At 39.7% G+C, this 21220-nt stretch overlaps 1 protein-coding gene and 1 long non-coding RNA gene across 12 annotated transcripts in view; one reads left to right on the top strand and one right to left on the bottom strand.

The window, feature by feature from the left end:
• PPP3R1-AS1 (PPP3R1 and CNRIP1 antisense RNA 1) overlaps window positions 1-21220 on the top strand; it is a 48404-nt gene that overhangs the window by 22430 nt on the left and 4754 nt on the right. The gene's annotated exons all lie outside the window — the stretch shown is intronic.
• CNRIP1 (cannabinoid receptor interacting protein 1) overlaps window positions 10139-21220 on the bottom strand; it is a 35779-nt gene continuing 24697 nt past the window's right edge. For 9 of the 10 annotated variants that reach the window (NR_163970.1, NR_163971.1, NR_163969.1 and 6 more), the window contains one exon: window positions 18978-19994. Coding sequence is in view for 7 of the 10 variants with exons in the window: in NM_001371607.1 (NP_001358536.1) it covers window positions 19830-19994 (165 nt within the window). In the remaining 3 variants the exon portion in view is untranslated. Of the gene's footprint in view, window positions 10453-18977; window positions 19995-21220 lie in introns of those variants that run through there. The other variant, NM_001111101.2, reaches the window with a different exon arrangement.

Below are 21220 nucleotides of genomic sequence, written 5' to 3' on the forward strand. Positions count from 1 at the left end.
ATCCTAAGGGGATTGATGGAGAAGAATTATGTTTTTCACCAGGCAGAAAAAAGCCCTGAATTTGGTCCCTCAGGAATCTTCTCAGGGTATTTTCTGCTAGTAGTACCAGAGCCCTATGGCCCTATGGTGCCAGAGCTCTATGCAGTTCCAGGAGGGAACTGCGCCACTGAGACTCAATACCCAGAAGGCTGCTCAGCTCTTGTTCCTGCTACAATCGACACTGAGGATAGGGATTAAAGCCTCATTAGTCTTTCGAGGTATGTGAGGAATGGCTATTTTGTTTTTGTTTAATTAGGGTCTTGGTGTAGAGCAGGACATTTAGTGGCCTATGTCCTTCTGTCCAATTTAAAGGTAGGGCTGAGCTGATTCACTCTCTAGAGATGAGTAGTGCAATGAGCTACAATTAAACAAAAATAATAAGAAGAACCTTTGCTCAGGGAGAATGTTTCAGTAACTTATATGTTCCCGCCAGCAGCATCATAAAGCCTCTGCAGTTGGGCGTCTGATATTTACTATCTTAGAACAGTGGTATGAATTAGCCAAGGTGTCTCCATTTATTTGGTTGTCAGTGAATGCTAAATAGAAATAAATGAGTCAAAATTAAAGGAAAAGATGGATATCAACTTGGCATGAACTCCTCTGAATTATTATTCAAATTCTTGGGTCCTTCTGGACTTTAAGACCATATTTTTTCTATGATGGGCAAGAAAGATGATTTATGCAGTTTATTTAGAGGTAAATTTTATGGACAAAATTTTATACACATCTATACAATATGTGAGTTATAATCATTGTTTTAAGAAACAATGATAGCATACAGAGGTGCCTACAAAGTTTTTATTTAAAGAGTCAGGGTCTCTGTCACCCAGGCTGGAGTGCAGTGGCGTGATCCTGGCTCACTGCAACCTTGAACTCCTGGGCTCAATCAATTCTCCCTCCTCAGTCTCCCAAGTAGCTGGGACTACATGCACATGCCAACATGACCAATAAATTGTTTTTTATTTTTTTCAAGATGGGGTCTCACTATGTTGCCCAGGTTCAATTTTAAATATTATCTTTATCTTTTTTGCCTGCTGCCCAAAGCCATAAGAAAATGTATCATTATTACTTAAAATGAAATCATAGCTGTAATAATACTTTACTAATAATATTTTAATTTCAATATGGAGCTTAAACTTTCAAAGCACTCTTAGATATGTAGGCCAATTTATTCATTATTTGAGTTCTTTAGTACACATAGTACATTCCTCTGAGATATGAAATGGCAATGATATGTACTCGTCTTATTACAAAGTGAAGATGGGATAGATTTTAGATATTTCAAAAAATGAGTGTACTTTATTTCTGTTTGTACAGTAGTCCCCCCCTTATCCATGGTTTCACTTTTCATGGTTTCAATTGCCCAACATACAATACAATAAGATATTTTGAGAGAGAGACCACATTAACCTTTATTACAGCCTATTGCTATAATTGTTCTATTTTGTTATTGTTATTGTTAACTTCTTACTATGCCTAGTTTATAAATTAAACTTTATCAAAAAGTTATGCATGTATAGCAGAAAACAGTATCTATAGGGTTCTGTACTATTTGCCGTTTAGGCGCCCAGTGGGGGTCTTGAAATATATCCCCCACGGGTAAGGGGGAACCACATACTTCAATACAAAGTTGAAAAAGCTCTGACCATATAGTATTCATGTTAATTTGATATTAAAACATCACTAAAACTCAGTGGACTAATTCTCAAAAAAAAGGATATGTGTAGCTTTTGTTTCTTCAATAACAATGTATAGAAGTGTCTTTTAAGAGTGATTTTAAACTACTTGTCTTTCAAGATAACTTTTAACTGATGACTTGGGGGCACTCATAAGCTCTCTGGGGATAAAACTGAGATTCCATTAGAATATCTTTGTTTAGGTTGTGGACAGGGGCTCTTGCCTGTAATCCCAGCACTTTGAGAGGCCAAGGCAGGAGAATCGCTTGAGCCCAGAAGTTCGAGACCAGCCTGGGAAACATGGTGAGATCTCTTCTCTTAAAAAAAAAAAGAAAGAAAAGAAAAGAAAAAAAGAAAAAAAAATTGGTTTAGTTTCTAAGTTCAAAGAGAGAGAGAGAGAATAGGGATAAAGAAGAGAAGAAATTCCTTTCTGTACAGGGCAGCTTTAAGTATAACTTCTTGGCGGTGTCTGAAGTGGCAGAGAGAGAATGGCGTCTGGGATTTGATTCTCTGCACTGTGATTTAAGTTCACTGAACCTTGGTTTCCTCATCTATAAAACGAGAATGTTGTCTTGAAGAGCAGGTGCTTAGTACTATTATAGTAAGCAAAGGAGTTCAATTAAATTACTTCTTGGGTTTCTTTTAAATGCCAGAATTAAATAATTGTAAAATAGATGAACCAATTTCCCTTCAATTGTGAGTAGTTTAAAATGCCACCGAAGATGGCAGAATAAGCCATTAAAATGGCTTTTATAAAACTTTCTTCCTTCTGCTTTTATCAACTATAAATTAAAGCTATTCTATTCATAGTCTAAAGCTGAGGAAATAAGCTTTTGTAACCTGCCAATATTTTCACCCCAGGAAAATAATTGTTCTTAGAAAAGCTAAAATGGTCTGGGCACCATGGCTGTCGCCTGTAATCCTAGCACTTTGGGAGGTGGAGTCAGGTGGATCACCTGAGGTCAGGAGTATGAGACCAGCCTGGTCATCATGGTGAAACCCCATCTCTACTAAAAATACAAAAATTAGCCAGGCGTGGTAGCAGGTGCCTGTAATCTCAGCTACCCGGGAGGCGGAGGTTGCAGTGAGCTGAGATTGTGCCATTGCACTCCAGCCTGGGCAACAAGAGGGAAATTCCATCTCAAAAAGAAAAATAGTAAGAAAAGCTAAAATATTCCTATGCTTAATCCTACTGTTGGAAGCATAAAGAATTGTTATGTTTCTTGCATGGGTTTAAAAACCAAGGACTGTTTTCAAAACTTAAAGCAATGATCAGGTGCCATATAACTGTCAAGTTATACATCACCTGAGGACCTTAATGGAGCACATAATAAATACTAATTAATTTAACCAACACCCCTGTGGTAAACGCATTATTACCCCTCCTCCCCTTTGAACAGGCAGGGAGACTGATTCCATGAGACCAAGCAACTCACCCTGGGGATGTGTGGAAGAAGTTGCTGAGCCAGAAAAAGGAACCCAAGAGGTTGGAATCTGAACCCTATGTATTTACAACTTAAGGAGAGTCTCGGCCGGGCGCTGTGGCTCACACCTGTAATCCCAGCACTTTGGGAGGCTGAGGCAGGCGGATCACGAGGTCAGGGGATCGAGACCATCCTGGCTAACACAGTGAAACCCCGTCTCTACTAAAAAAATTCAAAAAATCAGCCGGAGTGGTGGCGGGCGCCTGTAGTCCCAGCTACTCGGGAGGCTGAGGCAGGAGAATGGCGTGAACCTGGGAGGCGGAGCTTGCAGTGAGCCGAGATCGCGCCACTGCACTCCAGCCTGGGCGGCAGAGCGAGGCTCTGTCTCAAAAAAAGAAAAAAAAGAAGAGTCTCATTCCTTATGGATAAAAACATTTCTGCTCCCCTTTAGATTGATATATGTGTGAAGATAGAGTGGATTGTGTATATTACTGAGACACCCACCCTTCCCAAATGTTAGCTCTTTGTTTCCAGGATGTGCAATGACAAATAATTTGTTGGTAATGCTAACACTTCAATTAGTTAGATCTACACTTACTTAGTAAGCTTCAAATTGTTCCTATAGATGGATTAGAAAATGGAATTTAATAAGAACAATGAAGACTGAAAGCAACAAGGTAAATAAAACAGATTTCTCCATTAAGCAGGTAATTTTTTTATATTTTATTTTTTGAGACAGGGTCTCACTCTGTCGCCCAGCCTGGAGTGCAGTGGCAGAGTCATGGTTCCCTGCAGCCTTGACCTCCTAGGCTTGAGTGATCCTCCCATCTCAGCCTTCTAGGAAGCTGGGACTACAGGGGTGTGCCACAATGCTGGGCTAATTTTTTGTATTTTTAGTAGAGATGAGGTTTTCCCATGTTGCCCAGGCCGGTCTCGAACTCCTGGACTGAAGCGATTCCCTTGCCTTGGCCTCCCAAAGTGTTAGGATTACAGGTGTGAGCCATCACGCCTGGCCATGCAGATAATAGATTTGCTTTTTTATTGTGATTTTACTTTTATAATTTTTTTCAATAGTTGTTACTGGTAAGGTAGTCTAGGAATTATTTTGTGATCTCCTCTCCTGTCCTACCTCCTCAGTTTATAGAGGGCACTCAATAAGGACTTATTGGCTGAAACATAATACTCCTCCCAGTCATACATTCATCAGTGACTAATATAGAATGTTGTATAATGGTTAATACAATGTTTGAGCAATTTACTCATTCTAGCATTCAGTTAATATTGTGCATTTACTCATTTGATCAGATAATTTGTGATTAGAAGAATCCAAGAAATAAACCAGAACTAGCCATGTTGATTTCAACTCAGTTAACTTTGACAAACACCCAGTGCAATTCTTTAGAAGCTAAAAATTTGATGATTTGGTGACTATGACTTATGATTTCTAAAAAACAAAAAGAGATTGAATGTGTCGAGAGCCAGTATAACATACATTTGCCCAAATTTTATTTTCCAAAACATCACTTTTCCTAGCCAAGAATAAATGCTAGAGGCTGCCTGACTACCACTATTGGGTAGCATAAAGAAACAGAATTCACCATCATTGGGTAGTTTTTTTTTTTCCATGCTACACTGCAATACTGGTTTATTTAGCATATGTATAAGCTCCTTTCTGTCATACTTTTGGAGTTTTGATGTATAAAATAACACCTTGAAATTGTTAGTTATAATACAGAAAAATAAAATTGAATTTGGTCAACATCAAGATACTGCAGTGTACTTCTGAAAATAAGCCTTGCAAATGTTTTTCCACTAGAATATTTATGGATATAGTAATTTAGGTAGTCATTCACTAGAGGAGATTATGACATGCCAGTAGCTGAAAGATGAGAATAAAACCTACGGTTTCCAGTTGCAACTAGAGAAAGATGTAAAAACAAAAACAAAAAAACCCAAAACACATGCACTTTTTTTAAGGACCTTTTTTTCCTTTTATTTTCTTTTTTAGATTGGTACTAAGTTTAAGAGGTTTACACATTTGGAAAACTGTCTGTATGACTATTTCTGAAAGACCACATTCTTTCCTGTTTAAAGTTAAATAACTCCAGAGATTTTAATTTTAGTTTCTCAAGCAAGACAAAACCAGTTGAACTGCTTTATATTATTTCCTGAGTCAGGAATTGAGGCCAACAGTATTGAAAAGGTAACCATGAGTTGATTTTTTGTGTTTTGTAGGTTAATACTAGCAAAGAAAAGGGCAAGTTGTTTATGTCCTTAAAAATAATTTCAGAAGAAATTAAAGAATCTTCATCTTACTATTAATCACATTCTTTCTCACCCCTTTGTCAGAGGAAGAATTTATAAATGTCAGTAAAGTCCTTTTTATGCAGAAATTATTGAATTTAAATACATGCTAATTGCTGCTACTGATAGCTCTATCTGCAACAGGATTAAAGCTGTTAGAATATATTTTAAGAGTCTTGGCAGATGAATGTTCTTATAATCATCACATTTTAGAGACCTTTCTAAATCATGAGTTACGTGAAATAAAGAACCTAAAACAAATTAAGCAAGATCGTTTCATTTGTACATATTATGTGCCAGGTATTTTTTGAAGTAAAAAAAAAAAATTGTTTCAGCAGGCTTCCCTTTCCCTCTGGGGCCTATTAAATACTATACAAACAAGTCTGCCTCTTACTTTGGCTTATTTGGCGTTGGTACACACCTCTTAGGCAAGTGGGGCCAGCTCTCTAGAACTGGCTGTCTCGTCTTGAACAGTTTGTTATTCATATTTCAGTCCTCTTTTTTTCACACCTGTTTTTCATTTCAGGATATCAGAGTATCTGATATTGATCAAATCAATGGAAAGTAGACTGGGATACAAGCATTTCAGACTAGCACATTAGGACTGGGTTTATCTCACTCACTGACACAAGCTGTATGATATCTGAAAAGGAAAATATTTGTTTAGAAATGTCTTTTCTCCTCTCTGTCAGGGTTACAATGGCTTGCCAGGCCAAGCATTGAGCAGAGAAGAAGGGCATCCATTTTGAGAAGCCACATACTTTAGATGACATATGCAGAAGCAACATGCATTGGCATTTCATCATTTAGAATCTTATCCAAGTGCCAACATTTATCGTAACCTGGAAGGGAAGGGTGCCAAAGTAAAAAAAATGTGTTCACTTTTGCCTCATGAAATTCATGCTTGGGCAAATCTTAGGGGTATACAGTCTTCTGTACGTTCATGTGTAACACCCATTACTGTTAATAGGAGTTACCACATAGGTCCAAAAGAAAACATAGCCTTTAGAATTGAACTTAGACCTTGGGGATCAAAAGATCTCCCTAGCTAATAGCTGATGGGAATTGTGCAGTCTCAAATTTGCTCCCTGCTAACCTGACATCATTGAATTTGGAGAAGCAGAGCCAGGTTCATTCAGGGGTGGCAGAGAGAGAGAAAGTGGAAAAAAAACTGTTTTGAAAATAAAAGTGATTATAAATCAGGCTTTTAAATTAAGTCACAGAAATCCCTACCTAATTATATCATGAAAACAAGTTCCAGCTCATAGTTCTTAGAAAAGAGAAGGTTGTGACAGATTTATTCTTGTTTACTACTTTCAACCCCAAGCACTCTTGATTAATTTTTCTCAAAACAATAAAATGAGACTCAGCTAATAAAATTAGACTCATCTAATAAAATAATATTTAAATTTGGAGTCAATTTACTTTTAATTTTCAGAGATTCATGGTAAGGGAAATCAGATGGTCAAAATAATCTGACCTACACAAAAACACAAATTTTGATTTATATCCCATCACTAACCTTCTCAACCCCAAATGTGAACAAGGGGCCAGCCAGTTACTGAAGCAACAGAGTGTTAAGAAACTGCTGTGGGCGGAACATTATGGGAGGTGCTGAAGGGAGACAAATGTAATAGAAAAGCATAGTTCTTGTATTCAAATAAATGTATAACTAAGGCTGAATGTCAGTACAAAGCATATGGATAGGTTTACATTTACTTTTTTTCTTTGACCTTGTCTCTGTCCTTTGAAAAGGGTAGTGAACTAGGGGATAAGGGGGGAAAAAGTAAGGTCCTCAGCAGTCTATTAAATGGTGATATGCAAAAATCTCTGAACAATTAGAGCCCTTAACTGTCTTCAAAATAGGATAGGAATTAAGAAGACAGGTTTGAAAATAGATAAGCCTGAACCTGTTGCTTGAACCTTTCCAAGTCCCTGTTTTCACATTTGTAAAATGGTAGCAACAATGCTACTTTTCAGGGCGGTTGAATAAATTGAGTAAGAGAAAATATATGAAGAATTTAGCACAGGGCTTGGCAAATAGCAACAGTTCAAGTAAACAGTAGTCTTCATGGCCAGGTGCAGTGGCTCACGCCTGTAATCCCAGCACTTTGGGAGGCTGAGGTGGGCAGATCGCCTGAGGTCGCGAGTTTGAAACTAGCCTGGCCAACATGGTGAAAACCCATCTCTACTTAAAAATGCAAAAATTAGCTGGGCGTGGTCGTGGGCGTCTGTAATCTCAGCTACTCAGGAGGCTGAGGCATGAGAATCTCTTGAACCCAGGAGGCGGAGGTTGCAGTGAGCTGAGATGGCACGACTGCACTCCAGCCTGGGCAACAGCACAAGACTCTGTCTCAAAAGACAAATAAACAAACAAAAAAGTCTTTATTATTATTAATGATGGATAGTGGCTAATATCCATTTAATAGCTAATATCCTATGCATGGAATGTTCCTGACTTTCTTCTCTAGTATTTATTGGTGGCTCAAGTGACCACTCAGGGAATGTCAAATACAACTGTATACCTTGGTCAATTTCTTCTTGGGTTCCATCCAAAGACTGACTCTGCAAACTGCCCCTGCTGGAGGTGACGGAGTTTGGGGTGGGGTGGGGTAAGGGGGTGAAGAATCATGCTATACTCTGTGAGGATTACAACCAGGAGCATGTCTTAGCCAAGTCAGAGCCACTGCAGGCACCTCTTGGCTTTGCACCTATTAGGACTGAGTAGCGTTGTGTGTGCCAGGCTGGCCCCGTGGGTATCCTTAGTAGATCATGTGAGTGTTGTCACTGTGTCCATTTTAGACTATGGAAACTCCAGTATTGGGAATCCCATTTTGGAATGAAGTGTTGTTTTCATACAAAGGAAAATACAGTAGCTAGTTCAGACTATTCCATGATATAAGAAGCAACAAACCCTGCTTAAAAGGAAAAAAAGCCCCCAGAAGTGAAATCACAAATGCTGCATTATCATGGGTTGCAATAAACATGGGTGTGTGTAGAAAGAGGCTGTGGCAACACTTTTGTCTCCTGCCATGTCAACCGAGGTGATGGAAAACATGACAGCCTAAAATAATTAAAAGTAAGTGGTTGGAAAGAAAAGCCAGTCTTGGAATTAGGGAAAACAGGTGTATGGTGCCAGCACAGAGTTTCATTCTTTTTGTGCATGTGATTAAGATTTGGATTGGGAATATCATTGTAAAGTGAAGAGCCTGAGAAATATCTAGATATATGTGAACCAAACTGTGTGCAGCTTAGATTGATGCAGAAAGAACACTTTTTTACACTTGCAAATGTTTTGATACAAATTAAATACAGAAAATACTACGTGTTATATTGAAGGAGAAAGAAAAATAGTCTGTGGACCTCGACCCCTAAGCTCTGAAGACACATGCTAATAATAATTGGCAAAGGTATTTGTTTTACTCTATAAAGTTAAGAAGTTAAACCCACATGCAGGTGTCTAAAATTCGATGGATATGCAGGTGTCATGGATGAACGCAGGAAGCTTAAAAGCTGTCCAATCTGTCCTGCCACTAGTACCACCTAGTGGTAGCCAAGAAGATGTGTAAGCATCTTTTTAAAAATTGCTTTAAAAAATTTTAAAAGCAAGCATCAATAAAACTCATTGTTTAAAACAATTGAAACATGCACAAGAATTCAGAGTAAATTGTCAAGGGTCCTTCAATTCCAGTCTCTCCCAACCCCACTGTTCTTCCTTATTAATAGTGCCTTTCCTCTGCATTTCCTCAAATTTCAGCCTCTCTCTGTCCCCCTTTTTTTTCTGTCTCTCTCTCTATGCGCTTAACATTTTGAAAACATAAATGGAATCATTTAATCATATATTTTATGGGTGATGTTTTTCACTTAACAAATATCTTTAAACTTATTCTCTAGCACAGTAGAAACTATTGCTAATGGGCGCAGACACTAGGATTTGCTCATAAGCGCAAGTATCAGGTCTGCTTTCAGATTCTGAGCTGGAAGAGTTGTCTGGCTATTGAAAATGCCCTCCCTGGATGAGGTTCTTGACTCAGACTAGCCTTTATCAGACATGGTCAGCTTCCCACCTCCTCCTACCCTCCTGTACTCTCATCATCTGTTACTCCACCTCAGAGACCCCAGCTGCCATCATCCTTATTTAGCTTCCCCACCCCTCACCACTGCAGAAGACTCTGTTCTTATCTCCTGCCTCCAAACTGCCTCCAGGAATATTGCTTCATAACTCAAATATCATTCTATCATTTAATATTTAAAAACTTCCTCTGGTTCCCACTTTCTGTAGAACTAAACTTAAACTGCTCAGCATGTGTAGAAGGCTCCTCATAGCCTTGCCCCAGCCCATGCCTCTCTCTTCCCTATGCTCCAGCCACACAGAGTTTCTTCTTCCAGAGTGGATCATGTATTTTCACATGCCAATATCCTGCAGTACCTTCTCTGTGCCTGAAAGCAGCTCAAATATCATCTATGAAGCTGCCTCCAATTCCCACAGACTCCTCCTCAATGCTTTGATGTATTTTGTATTTTTTCTAGTATAGCACTTGCCTCATTTTATTGTAATTATTTGGCTATAAACAACTTGATTACTTATCACACTCCTATTGCCATCTCCTGCCCCCACGGGACCTGGCACATGAATGCTTATTGAATGAATAACTGAACTTTAATAAGAAGGAGTACAGTGAGTAAACCCTTGGGTAGTGTTTTCCAAACTTTAATATGATAAGAATCACCTAAAGTGCTTAATAAAATGCAGATGCTTTGGATTTACTCTCAGAGAGTTTGCTCAATTTAAGAGGTCTAAAAAGGTAGAGTTTAGGAATCTACATTTTAACAAGCATCCCCGATAATTCTGATGGCCTGTGAGAAGCCCTCCCCTAGAATGCAAAGCAAATAATTTGGAAAAAAAAAAAAGAACATTTGTTCCTCATGATGGCACACATTGAAGAATGTGCTTATTCTTCACATTCATATGTAAGAGAGATCTCTTGGGGTCGTTGTTCCAGGCACTCCTGAAAATAAATAGATACCAGAATAAGTTTGAGAAAACCACAGTTGGGTAGGTGCAGTGACTCACGCCCGTAATCCCAGCACTTTGGGAGGCCAAGGCAGGCAGATCTCTTGAGGTCAGGAGTTCGAGACCAGCTGACCAATATGGTGAAGCCCCATCTCTACTAAAAATACAAAAATTAGCTGGCTGTGGTAGTGGTGCACCTGTAGTCCCAGCTACTTGGGAGGCTGAGGCAGAGAATCACTTGAAGCTGGGAGGCAGAGGTTGCAGTGAGCTGAGATTGTGCCACTGCACTCCAGCCTGAGTGACAGAGCGAGACTCTGTCTCAAAAAAAAAAAAAAAAAAGAAAAGAAAACCACAGCGAAGCGAATTCTGTGAAGACTATAAAGAAGCATCAAGCTCTGTGTAAAGGGCTAGATTGTTTCTTTGTAAGGACAATTGTCATCAAATCCCATATGTTTGTTTTGTTAAAATAGCCACTATTTAGCCAGGCCCAAGCTGTTTTCACTAATACACTGCATTTCTGTCAAGCTTCTCTTTGGATGTTCTCCAAGCATTTTAGCAGCTTTAAGCCTGTCTTCCCTTGTTCCCTGAGGGAGGAACAAGCACAAGTTCACGCCAACTCATTAGAGAGACATTGCTCAAGAGCAGCTCCTGGGGCACCAGATGCAGGCAGGAGCGAGGGAGTGGGATCCCTTCCAGGCCCCTCCCCTCTGCGCTGTCTCATTTTCCCCACCCACCCTCCCAAATGCTCATTATTGTCTTCAGCAGGTGGCTTCCACCCCTGCCTTCAAGTCTGCTCAGACAATCTCCCTCCCAAGATAGACAAGCTCCAAAAAGATTCACAGGTTCTACACAATGCAGAACTGCCAAGGACCACATTGGCCAAAGCAATGTCTTCATACAATCAATCTTAAGGGATTTTGCAGAGACAATGGTAAATGTGGATTAGGCTTTTGATCAGAAGGCAGAATATTCGTGACCAGCCTGGGCAACATGGTGAAACCCATCTCTACAAAAATTAGCTGGATGTGGTGGTGGCCGCCTGTGGTCCCAAATACTTGGGAGGCTGAGGTGAGAGGATCACTTGAGACTGGGAGGTTGAGGCTGCAGTGAGCCAACATCGCACCACTGCACTCCAGCATGGGCTGTTACAGAGCAAGACCCTGTCTCAAAAAAAAAAAAAAAAGAAAAGAAAAGAAAAGAAAAGAAAGAAAGGCAGAACCTTTAGGCAGCAGATGTCCACCAGAGGTATGTGTGCATGTGTGTGCATGTGCACGTGTGTGTACAGCCATATGGGTTTTAATACATGTATAGATTCATTCAACCACTGCCGCTATCAGGATACAGAACAGTTCCATCGCCCCAGAAAGCTCCCTCCTGCTACCTTTTTGAGTGTATCCAAGCTTTATTTTAAGGCTTTAATCTTATAAAAATCTCCAGGGAAAGGTGAAATGCTATAGAAAAGTTAAAGATAGTCTGTGTTCAATTATTTGAAGAAACTTGTCATTCAGGGTTAGATTGTTTCTATAGGGTGAGGACAAATTCCCATTACCTATATAGGTACTTACGTTGTCTTTTCAGGCAAATTTGGTTAGCTATCCCCTCCTACCCTGTCAAGCAGTAGCTATCTAGCCCACAATAAACTCTCTGAGTGGAAGCCTGATGATTTAAAGTTATGTCTACCATACCCATTATTTTTCGACTAACAATAGGAATCCAAAATCATTAGCTTGTAGCCATGAAAATTCTGAAAATAGACTCTCAGTGTGGCCATATGAGTTACATTTCAAAGTGTAACCATCTAGATTTGGGGAAATTAAGGACCTTACGAACACACACACACACACACACACACACACTCATATACACATTATATAGATCTACTTCACACCAAACACAAGCATAAAAAATAAACTGGGAAAAGATCAAGATTCCAACTGGGTTTTGAGTTGGAAAAAACATTAGTATTTTAAAATATATGTTTTGTCAAAGAAAGTGACTATCTGATAAAGGTAAAGGAAAAATCAGCTGTTTCAGTTTTGGGAAATTCACAATGCTCCTTTGTTTAGTGGGCTTGTTGAACTTTTCTGAACATTCAAAAAATATTTTTGTCAAATAATTTGGACATTTCAAATTCTGCTTCAAGCATGAAGGGAGGTTGCCACTAACACCATTGTTACCTCTTGGGCCACGGTCTCCCTTGGGATGGTCATTTCAGAGGGAGGAAATACCCTTGGCTGTCAGAGGCCAAGGGTCTATAAACTTCTAGATGAGGGTAAGCGTGTTGAAGTCATACTGATTTGGATTTTCATTCTGTCTCCTCTGCTCACAATAGCTATATGACCTTGGGCAGGTAGCCTAACCTCTCTGAGCTTAATAGCCTCATTTTAAAAATGGAAATCATATGTACTCTTCAGGATGATTTTGAAAATTAAATGAGATCATATATATAAAATGTCTGCCATACAAAAGATAGTCAATGAATGCTAATTTTGTCTTTCCTTTCCTCATTTAATTCATCTCTCTACCTCCAAATACAGCCTTATCAAAACTAGGTCAGTCATAATTTATCTTATTTTTTAAGACCATGGAAGGAAAAAAAGATGGTTTAATCCTTCTCCTAATCCATATTGTGACTTCTAACTTTCTCTGGCAGGAAATGATTTCTTAGAACCAACTTCAGACCATTACTTTTTTCTTTTTGGAGAAGTTTTACTTTACTGTCTTCAGCAGAAAAGGAGAGTAGGTGGTCTGGATTCCCCAGATGTGGATCAGGAAAGGCAAGGTTATGCTGAAGTAATGAACAACCCCAGAATCTTAGTGATGGTTTATAGAATAGTTTCTTGTTCATCTCTCCACCCCAAAAAAGCAGATTGATACAACATAAAGGACAGATAAGGGATAAAGCAAATATACCAAAATGTTAACTGTGAAATTCAGGTGATAGATATGGGAATGTGTGTTATGCAAGTCTTTCAACTTTTCTATACATTTCAACATTTTTCACGATAAAATATTGGGAGAAAAGTTTATTTCTCACTTATGCTATGGGTCCAACAAAAGGTGGCTAGGGTTCCATGCCGTATCTTCTCACTCCAGGACCTAAGGTGATCAATCATCTTGAAAGTGGCTATTTGCCATGGCAAAGGGAAAGAGAGTTCTGTTGGCATTGCACAGACTGTTGGATAATTTCAGCCTGAAATGACATGTGTCACTTCTGCTTACAACTCATTGGCCAGAGCTACCAGCACATGGCCTTAGCCCAGGCCATGGAGGTCAGATCCTATCATGTGCCTCGACGGGGGAGGGCTGGAAACATTTGGTAAGCAGCACAAGTAATTACCCTGATGAAAATAAACAACTTCATAAACTTCAAAGAATAACATACCTTAGGACTATCATTAATAATACGAACGTGACAAGGCAAATTCACTGGAAGCAATGTCAGTAAAAGAATTCAGAAACTTTTTTCTTTCTCATCCACTTTCCTTCTTTTAGTCTCCTTTAAAGGGAGCAGGAGAACTAACCCCGTAAAGGCTAACAGATTGCAAACTTCTTGCTGGCTGGTTTGCAGCCGGCCGGCCAGCCAGCCAGCCAGCCAGCCAGCTCTTTCTAGAATCTCATCACCTTTTTGTTGAGTCAGCTCATTTTCCCTGAGTCAGTAAGAAGATGTGGAAGCTGTCCAGAGATCTTAAGAAAAGCAGAAGTTAGGTTGAGGGTGGTAAAGCTTTTCAGAAATAGGATAATAAAATATCTGAGTAAACAATATTTCAATATTTTTCTTGACTCAACGTTTTAGAGGAGTCAGGAAAGACTTCATAGTGACATTTAAGCTGGCACTTGAAGGCGTTTGCAAGGTAGGAAATGGAGTAGGGCGTTCCAAGCAGAGGGAACAGGCTGTGCAGTGGCAAGGAAACTGCTTTGGACTTGGTAGATCTGCAGGAGAATAAGAAATTCACTGTGACCAGAGACTAGAATGCCTGTCAGGATTACTGTTAAAGTACTAGCGTAGGGCCAAAAATACTGTATTTTTCATTTGTTAGCAAGTGGGAAATGAAATACCCTACTTGTTAAGGAAAAATTTTAGTCTTACCTAGTGCTCTAATAGTAGTTAACATGGCTTCAAAGAGAAAAGATTATATGCAAGTAATTTGCTATAAAGAGAACTATAGGCAAATGAGTTTCTAGCAACTGAATACTTCTGTTTGTTGGCAACAATTGTTGGCAACAATTAATATATCCACAGAAACTTTCTTTGGGAAAACAAGTTACCTACTAGGCTGCAAACAAATTAAGGCAAAACTACCAGGTTATAAAAACAAACACTGCAGGAGAGTGGGCAGGTAATGAGGTGATTTTAAATGAAATACATTTGTCAAGAGAACAGTGATGGGGAGAAGAAAAACAAGGAGCTTTACGTATGATATATCATTTAATCCTAACACATGTTGTGAAGTGAATGTTATTATCACCATTTCATAAATGTGAAAACTAAAGATCAAATAAAGTAGCTTCTTATAAAATGAGCTGTTTAAATTTGAGCCTTATTTTTGAATCTCTGAGACATTTTTCCTCTGTAAAATGGAGACATGACACATCCTGCCTACCTCACAGGGTGGTTAAGAGGATTAAAAGAAATAACAAAAGAAATTGACATCATTCTTGACCTTGACTTTTTAATCAGAAAATCTTAAGTTTTCTGATTCTGTCTTGATGTTTGTATATTCTTCAAAACTATGTCTTTATATAGGAAACTTAAGATGGCTGTTTGTGGAAAAAGTCTTTCTAGCATATCTTAAAATATGCTATTTTAAACTATTTTTAAATAATTAAAAATTTTACCTTTCCAAGCATCAAAATAGAGTATAACGTTTGGCCATTATCTGAAATCCATTCATGGAATATTTTAGGAAAATAAGTTTTATTTTTTAAACTCCTTTAGTTTTTCTCTTGGCATTTTAAATAATTTTGTTTGAAAATGTATCGCTCCTTTTCTTTTTTTCTTTTTTTTTGAGACAGAGTCTTGCTGTGTCACCCAGGCTGGAGTGTAGTGGCAGGATCTCAGCTCACTGCAACCTCCACTTCCAGGGCTCAAGAGATCCTTCCACCTCAGTCTCCTGAGTAGCTGGGACCACAGTTGCACACCACCACGCCCAGCTAATTTTTGTGTTTTTCATAGAGACATGGTTTGGCCATGTTGCCTAGGCTGGTCTCAAACTCCTGGGCTCAAGCGAGCCACCTGCATTGGCCCCCCAAAGTGCTGGGATTACAGACATGAGCCAACGTGCCCAGGCTCCCTTTCTTTTTTAATGAAATATACCAAATAATGATATTATGTGCCAGGAACTGTTCTGAAGGTTTAATGTACATTAACTTATTTAATCCTCATAACCATTCTGCAAGGTAAATACTATTATCTCCATTTTCCAAATGAGAAAATTGAGGCACAGAGGTATTAAGTGACTTGCCTAAGACCACACAGCTAATAAACAGCTGAGCTGGGATTTAAATTGAGGTATTTTTGCCCAGAATCTGAACTTTTTTTTTTTTTTTTTTTTTTTGAGAAGGAGTCTCCTCTGAAGCCCAGGCTGGAGTGCAGTGGCATGATCCCGGCTCACTGCAACCTCCTCCTCCTGGGTTCAAGTGATTCTCCTTCCTCAGCCTCCCAAGTAGCTGGGATTACAGGCGTGCACCACCATGCTGGGTAAATTTTACATTTTTAGTAGAGACGGGGTTTTGCCATGTTGGCCAGGCTGGTCTTGAACTCCTGACCTGAAGTGATCTACTCGCTTCAGCTTCCCAAAGTGCTGGGATTACAGGCGTGAGCCACTGCGCTTGGTGGAGAATCTGAGCTTTTAAACACTGAACCATGATACATTACTGATGATAATGGGCCCTCTTTCTAAATGAATCAGGAATATCATTAGGCTTATCAATTTTTATTTGATATATACAGAAACTACTGTGGTTTAATACAGGATTATTTATGTACCTACAGGATACAGTTGTCCCCATCTACTGTTCTTTTGATTTACTTTGTCTGCTTTTTATAGTTTTCTCTGTCCTCTCTGAAAAAAAAAGAATATTTTCAGTATATCTGCCTCTACAAATTGTCTTCTTCCCTTTCATGTTCTACTTCCAATTTCATAAGAGTCAGAAACCAGATCACCCCACATGTTAGAATTGTGTCTAAAACAGGAGTCAAGAGGCCTTGGGAGAAGACCCGAGCCTTTAGTGAATGGACTTGGTGACATCTGTGACAGGGATCTTTATTTTTTGGCATGTTTTCTGTTCTTAACTGTGATCCAGATAGTTTAAATGGCTGGATAAGTGACTTCTCAGTAAGCGAGGTGTCACAAAATATAAACTCAAGGCATTTCTATTCTTCCACCTGTTCAAAAGTGTTTTAGTCATCATCATAATTGGAAGGATGGCCTAGTTCCTCAAGCTTCTGGGTAGCCATCTGATGCTTGGAGGTAGAGAGACGTGGCTACAACTTGTATAAAAATAGCCCTTCCAGATGGCTGAGGGGCAAAGTTACAACTCAGCAGCTCGATATAGCTGAGCACTCAAATTTTGGAGTAGGAGGAGAGCTATGTGAGAAGTAGCCAGAGAGACTGGGCTGGAGCCCAATCATAAGTAGAACAGTATATGCCAGGAGCGATCACTTAACGTGCAGATTAGCTGTTAAGTTTTTCTGTTACTTCATCTCCATCTCCTCCCCAACTCCCTTGATTCAACCTTACTTCTGGCCCTAAGGAAACACATACACATACGACATAGACAGATATGCACACACACTTTCCCCTTTTTTTTTTAAAGGAGTATAAAATAGAGGAACAAACCATAACTCTTAAAAGGCTTCAGAATTCTACTAGTCTAACCCTTCATTTTAGAGATAAGCAAACTGAGGCAGAGAAAGGTGTGGTGACCATCCAGGATGTGAGCAGGACTCCCACGCTCCAGGTGCTCTGCCAGGGCTCATCTTCTGGCTCGTTTGTGGGACACTGATAACAGCGCAGCTATCCCAGGACATGTTTCCTCCAAGTCTGCTTTGACTCATTTCAAACTCTAAATAAAGCCTTTAGTTAAAAAAGAAAAAAAAAAGTATGGGCCCAGCGTAGTGGCTCACGCCTGTAATCCCAGCCCTTTGGGAGGCCAAGGCAGGTAGATCACGAGGTCAGGAGTTTGAGAACAGCTTGACCAACATGGTGAAACCCCATCTCTACTAAAAATATAAAAATTAGCTGAGCGTGGTAGCACACGCCCGTAATCCCAGCTACTCAGGAGGCTGAGGCAGGAGAATTGCTTGAACCTGGGAGGTGGAGGTTGCAGTGAGACAAGATCATGCCACTGCACTCCAGTCTGGGTGACAGAGTGAGACTCCATCTCAAAAAAAAAAAAAAAAAAAAAGAGTGGATTATTGCAAAAGTCATGATAATGTCTCCACCCTCAACACAAATACTCAAGCTCTAGTCCCTGGCTTGAAAACCTGTTTCACCAGTGAAAATATTTACTAATCAAATTAGTAAATATTAAATTGTGTAGTTCCCACTTTTTATTTTAAATCTTTTATTCACTCTGCATTTCTATTGGATATTCTGGAAGAAAAACCTCTGTAGTAAATCCATTGTTTTAAATATCTCAATGTCTGTTCAAATAATTGAGTGTTGGTTTTAAAAAATAGTCATTAGGAATGGGTTAGTACTTACGTTTTAGCAATTGTAATGAAGACTTTAAAAAAAAACAAAAAAACAAACAAAAAACACAAGCTTATTGAGAAACATGTTACACTCCTTTAACATCATTTATGATCCCCAAAGGCAAGGCATTGCTGTTCCCTGGTGGCTGTACAGCATCACTGCAGGTAAGCGATTTGGAGGTAGAAAAGGTGTTGAGTGCCAGCCTTTCAAATTCAGTTCTACAATGAATCAACTTTTAAAAATACTCCCAGTAGCTTGCATTTTCTTATAAGAAGGGTTTACAGGTAGCAAAAACAAACAATCCCCAACGAACTTTTTCCAATACTATAGGATTTGTGCTGCCCAAGTAAATATTACATTATTGGAAAATAGCATGTTACTTTTCAAGAGGAAGTTCACTTCCTTCTTATGGAATTTATCCTTAAACTGTATGGTATATGGGCTTTGTGCAAGGTGCTGGAAGTAGGCAAGGAGGCCTCAACCATGATGTACACACACTATTATAGCACCATTGCTCTCCTGCTACTGAGTCACATAGCTCACCAACTGGGGAGGGGTCACCACAGAAAGAGTAATGGAGCGAGATAGGTACAAGCATTTTTTGATTGCCCGCCAAGCACCTGGGCCTGTGCTAGCCCTGTTAAACTTGGCTGGAGCAATCCTGCTAAAAGGTCAGGCTTGATTCATGAATAGGTGTGCTAATTCTACTCCGGATACATCCCCGTCATCCTGTAGCATACAGGCCTGAGTGAAGCTGGCCTAGAGCAGGGATTCACCTGCTAGATAATTATTGCCCAAATTAAGAATGCAAGTCAGGGCATGATTTTCAACGCCTTTATTAAGAAATATCAAAAGTTGATTACAGGTCCATATGCAGTTTTACAAAGTTCAAGTGAAGAAGACTGTAGGGATGCCATCAATGTGCGTGTCTGAAGACTATGGAAGCTTGTCAAAGGGGTAACCCTACAACTCCTGTCACTTTAACAATGGTCCACAGCAATGCTTTTCCCCCATTTCTACTAGGCTAGGCCATTGCACAATACCTTAAGCTACTTAAAAGAGTTTTAATACGTTATAAATACGTACATATTTGTCCTTCTAGTTTGTTACCATCCTTCCCTGAAAGAGCGGAGCTGTTTATAGGAAGCACAACATTTGAGTCCCATTCACTGCTGTTTGTATTACATTTTCACAAAGCCTGCTTTGAAAGCTGGCAAACACTGCAAGTTACATGTTACCATATTACACATGGGAGGACCCATACACATTGTTATTTTTAAATTTAACATTGAACAAAAAAAAGGAGGAATCACTTAACTTGGAAACAAAACACCAAAGTTAGTCAGTGGAATGGTCAAGAGCAGGACAAGCCTGCCAGGGCCACTGAACTCCAGTCACAAGTGGTCAAAAGTATGACCGAGAACAACTGGATGCAGGAACATCAGCACAAAATACAGATGGGAATATTCTCGGGAGTGGTACATCACCATCTTGTATGTGAGGGATATTGTGTCAGAGGGGAATTACACTTTCAAAATAACCAGGGCTAGTAGGTCATTAGTACCAGATGGGGAACAGCAATGGTGTGGCATGCCTTGTTTAAGGCCTGCGCTGGTTTATCTAAAAGTAGATTTCTGAAAAGATTGTCCAGTAGCATCAGAAAGAGCCACTTTCAGAGGAAGGACTCCTTGTTCACCCACATCAGACTGCGTGTCTCGTTGGGCTTGCATTCATACTCAATGACAGAGAAGGGGCTTCCCCACTGGCAGTGATCCCGCTTGTGGTAATTGTAGAACTTGACTTGCCACACTGTCTCGAAGGTCCCAATGTCTGTGAACTGAGGGAAGAGAAACATGCCTGATAAAAAACCTCATTCTGCCACGAGCAATAGATGAGAGCTAACATTAGTGATGTAGCTCCTGGATAATCAAGCAGACCCAGTCCAGATTCTCTTGGTCTGCAAGGCTCGGAAGGCTTTCCTTTAGTGGTCTAGCTCCCTCCTTTATGATGGGAGATATTTTCCTAAAAAGCTGTCTGTAAACCATTCTTCTCTATAAAATCTGATTCCCATTGCAAACGTGCCACTCGCTATCATATTGCTTTTAATAAAAATAACTGCAAAGTTTATCTTGTTTTTCAAGTTTAATTTTTTGAAAACTTAGAATTTTAAAGCTTACTCTAAAATGGCCCCTGCTGGCCAGGTGCAGTGGTTCACCCCTGTAATCCCAGGCTGAGGCAGGATGCTAGCTTGAAGCCAGGGGTTCCAGAATAGCCTGAACAACAAAGCAAGATTCTGTCTCTAAAACAAACCCCCATGTTCATCCCCCAAATGGTCCCTGCTACAGAAGGGGAATGGCGAAGGGAAGAGAAGGAATAAAGTTTACTGGCTTTTCTCAAAATACAATGGTACAAAACAACCTGTCTACAATACATCTACATAAAATTTCCATCATTAGTTTCAATTCCAAAGAAAAATATTTCAAAGTGATAACTGAAAATATTTCATTGGAAGTGTTAAAGGCCATATTTTAACTATTAAACATTGAATACTTATAAGTCAGGAGTCCATGCCTACATCTTGGGCTTAGATTATACATTACCCAGAACCATATTTGAGTATCTGCTATGTACCTTGCATGTATAAAAATTCGTATAAGGCAGGATTGTTGCTCTTAAGAAGTTAGCATTCTACTTCCAGAAGGTAGGCCCTGTAAATCACTGCACAGAACTCTCCTGAGGTATAAAGTACACATTTCTCTTGCAGCTGAGAAGAGTACCTGGAATACCCTGGAGGCCACTGGGCAGATGCTCAAGTGGCCTGTGGGGTAGCCTGACCCTGCTACTGCCTTCTGGAGCTATTTAGGGGATCTGGCATTAAACTGCATGATGCCTGTCGTTATTTTCTCCTCTGACCCTCCCCTGTCATGGGAGGGGACAGGGACTGACTTGGCAGGACTCTTAGACTTGTCTGGAGCCAGAAGACGTGGACAGAGGAAGGCAGTGAGCATTAGGAGTCTTATGCTTCTTGCTGATACAGGAGGAGGGTGATCAGGTGCTTTCCAG

The sequence above is a fragment of the Homo sapiens genome, chromosome 2 (assembly GCF_000001405.40).
Source record: "Homo sapiens chromosome 2, GRCh38.p14 Primary Assembly".
Lineage (NCBI taxonomy): Eukaryota > Metazoa > Chordata > Mammalia > Primates > Hominidae > Homo > Homo sapiens.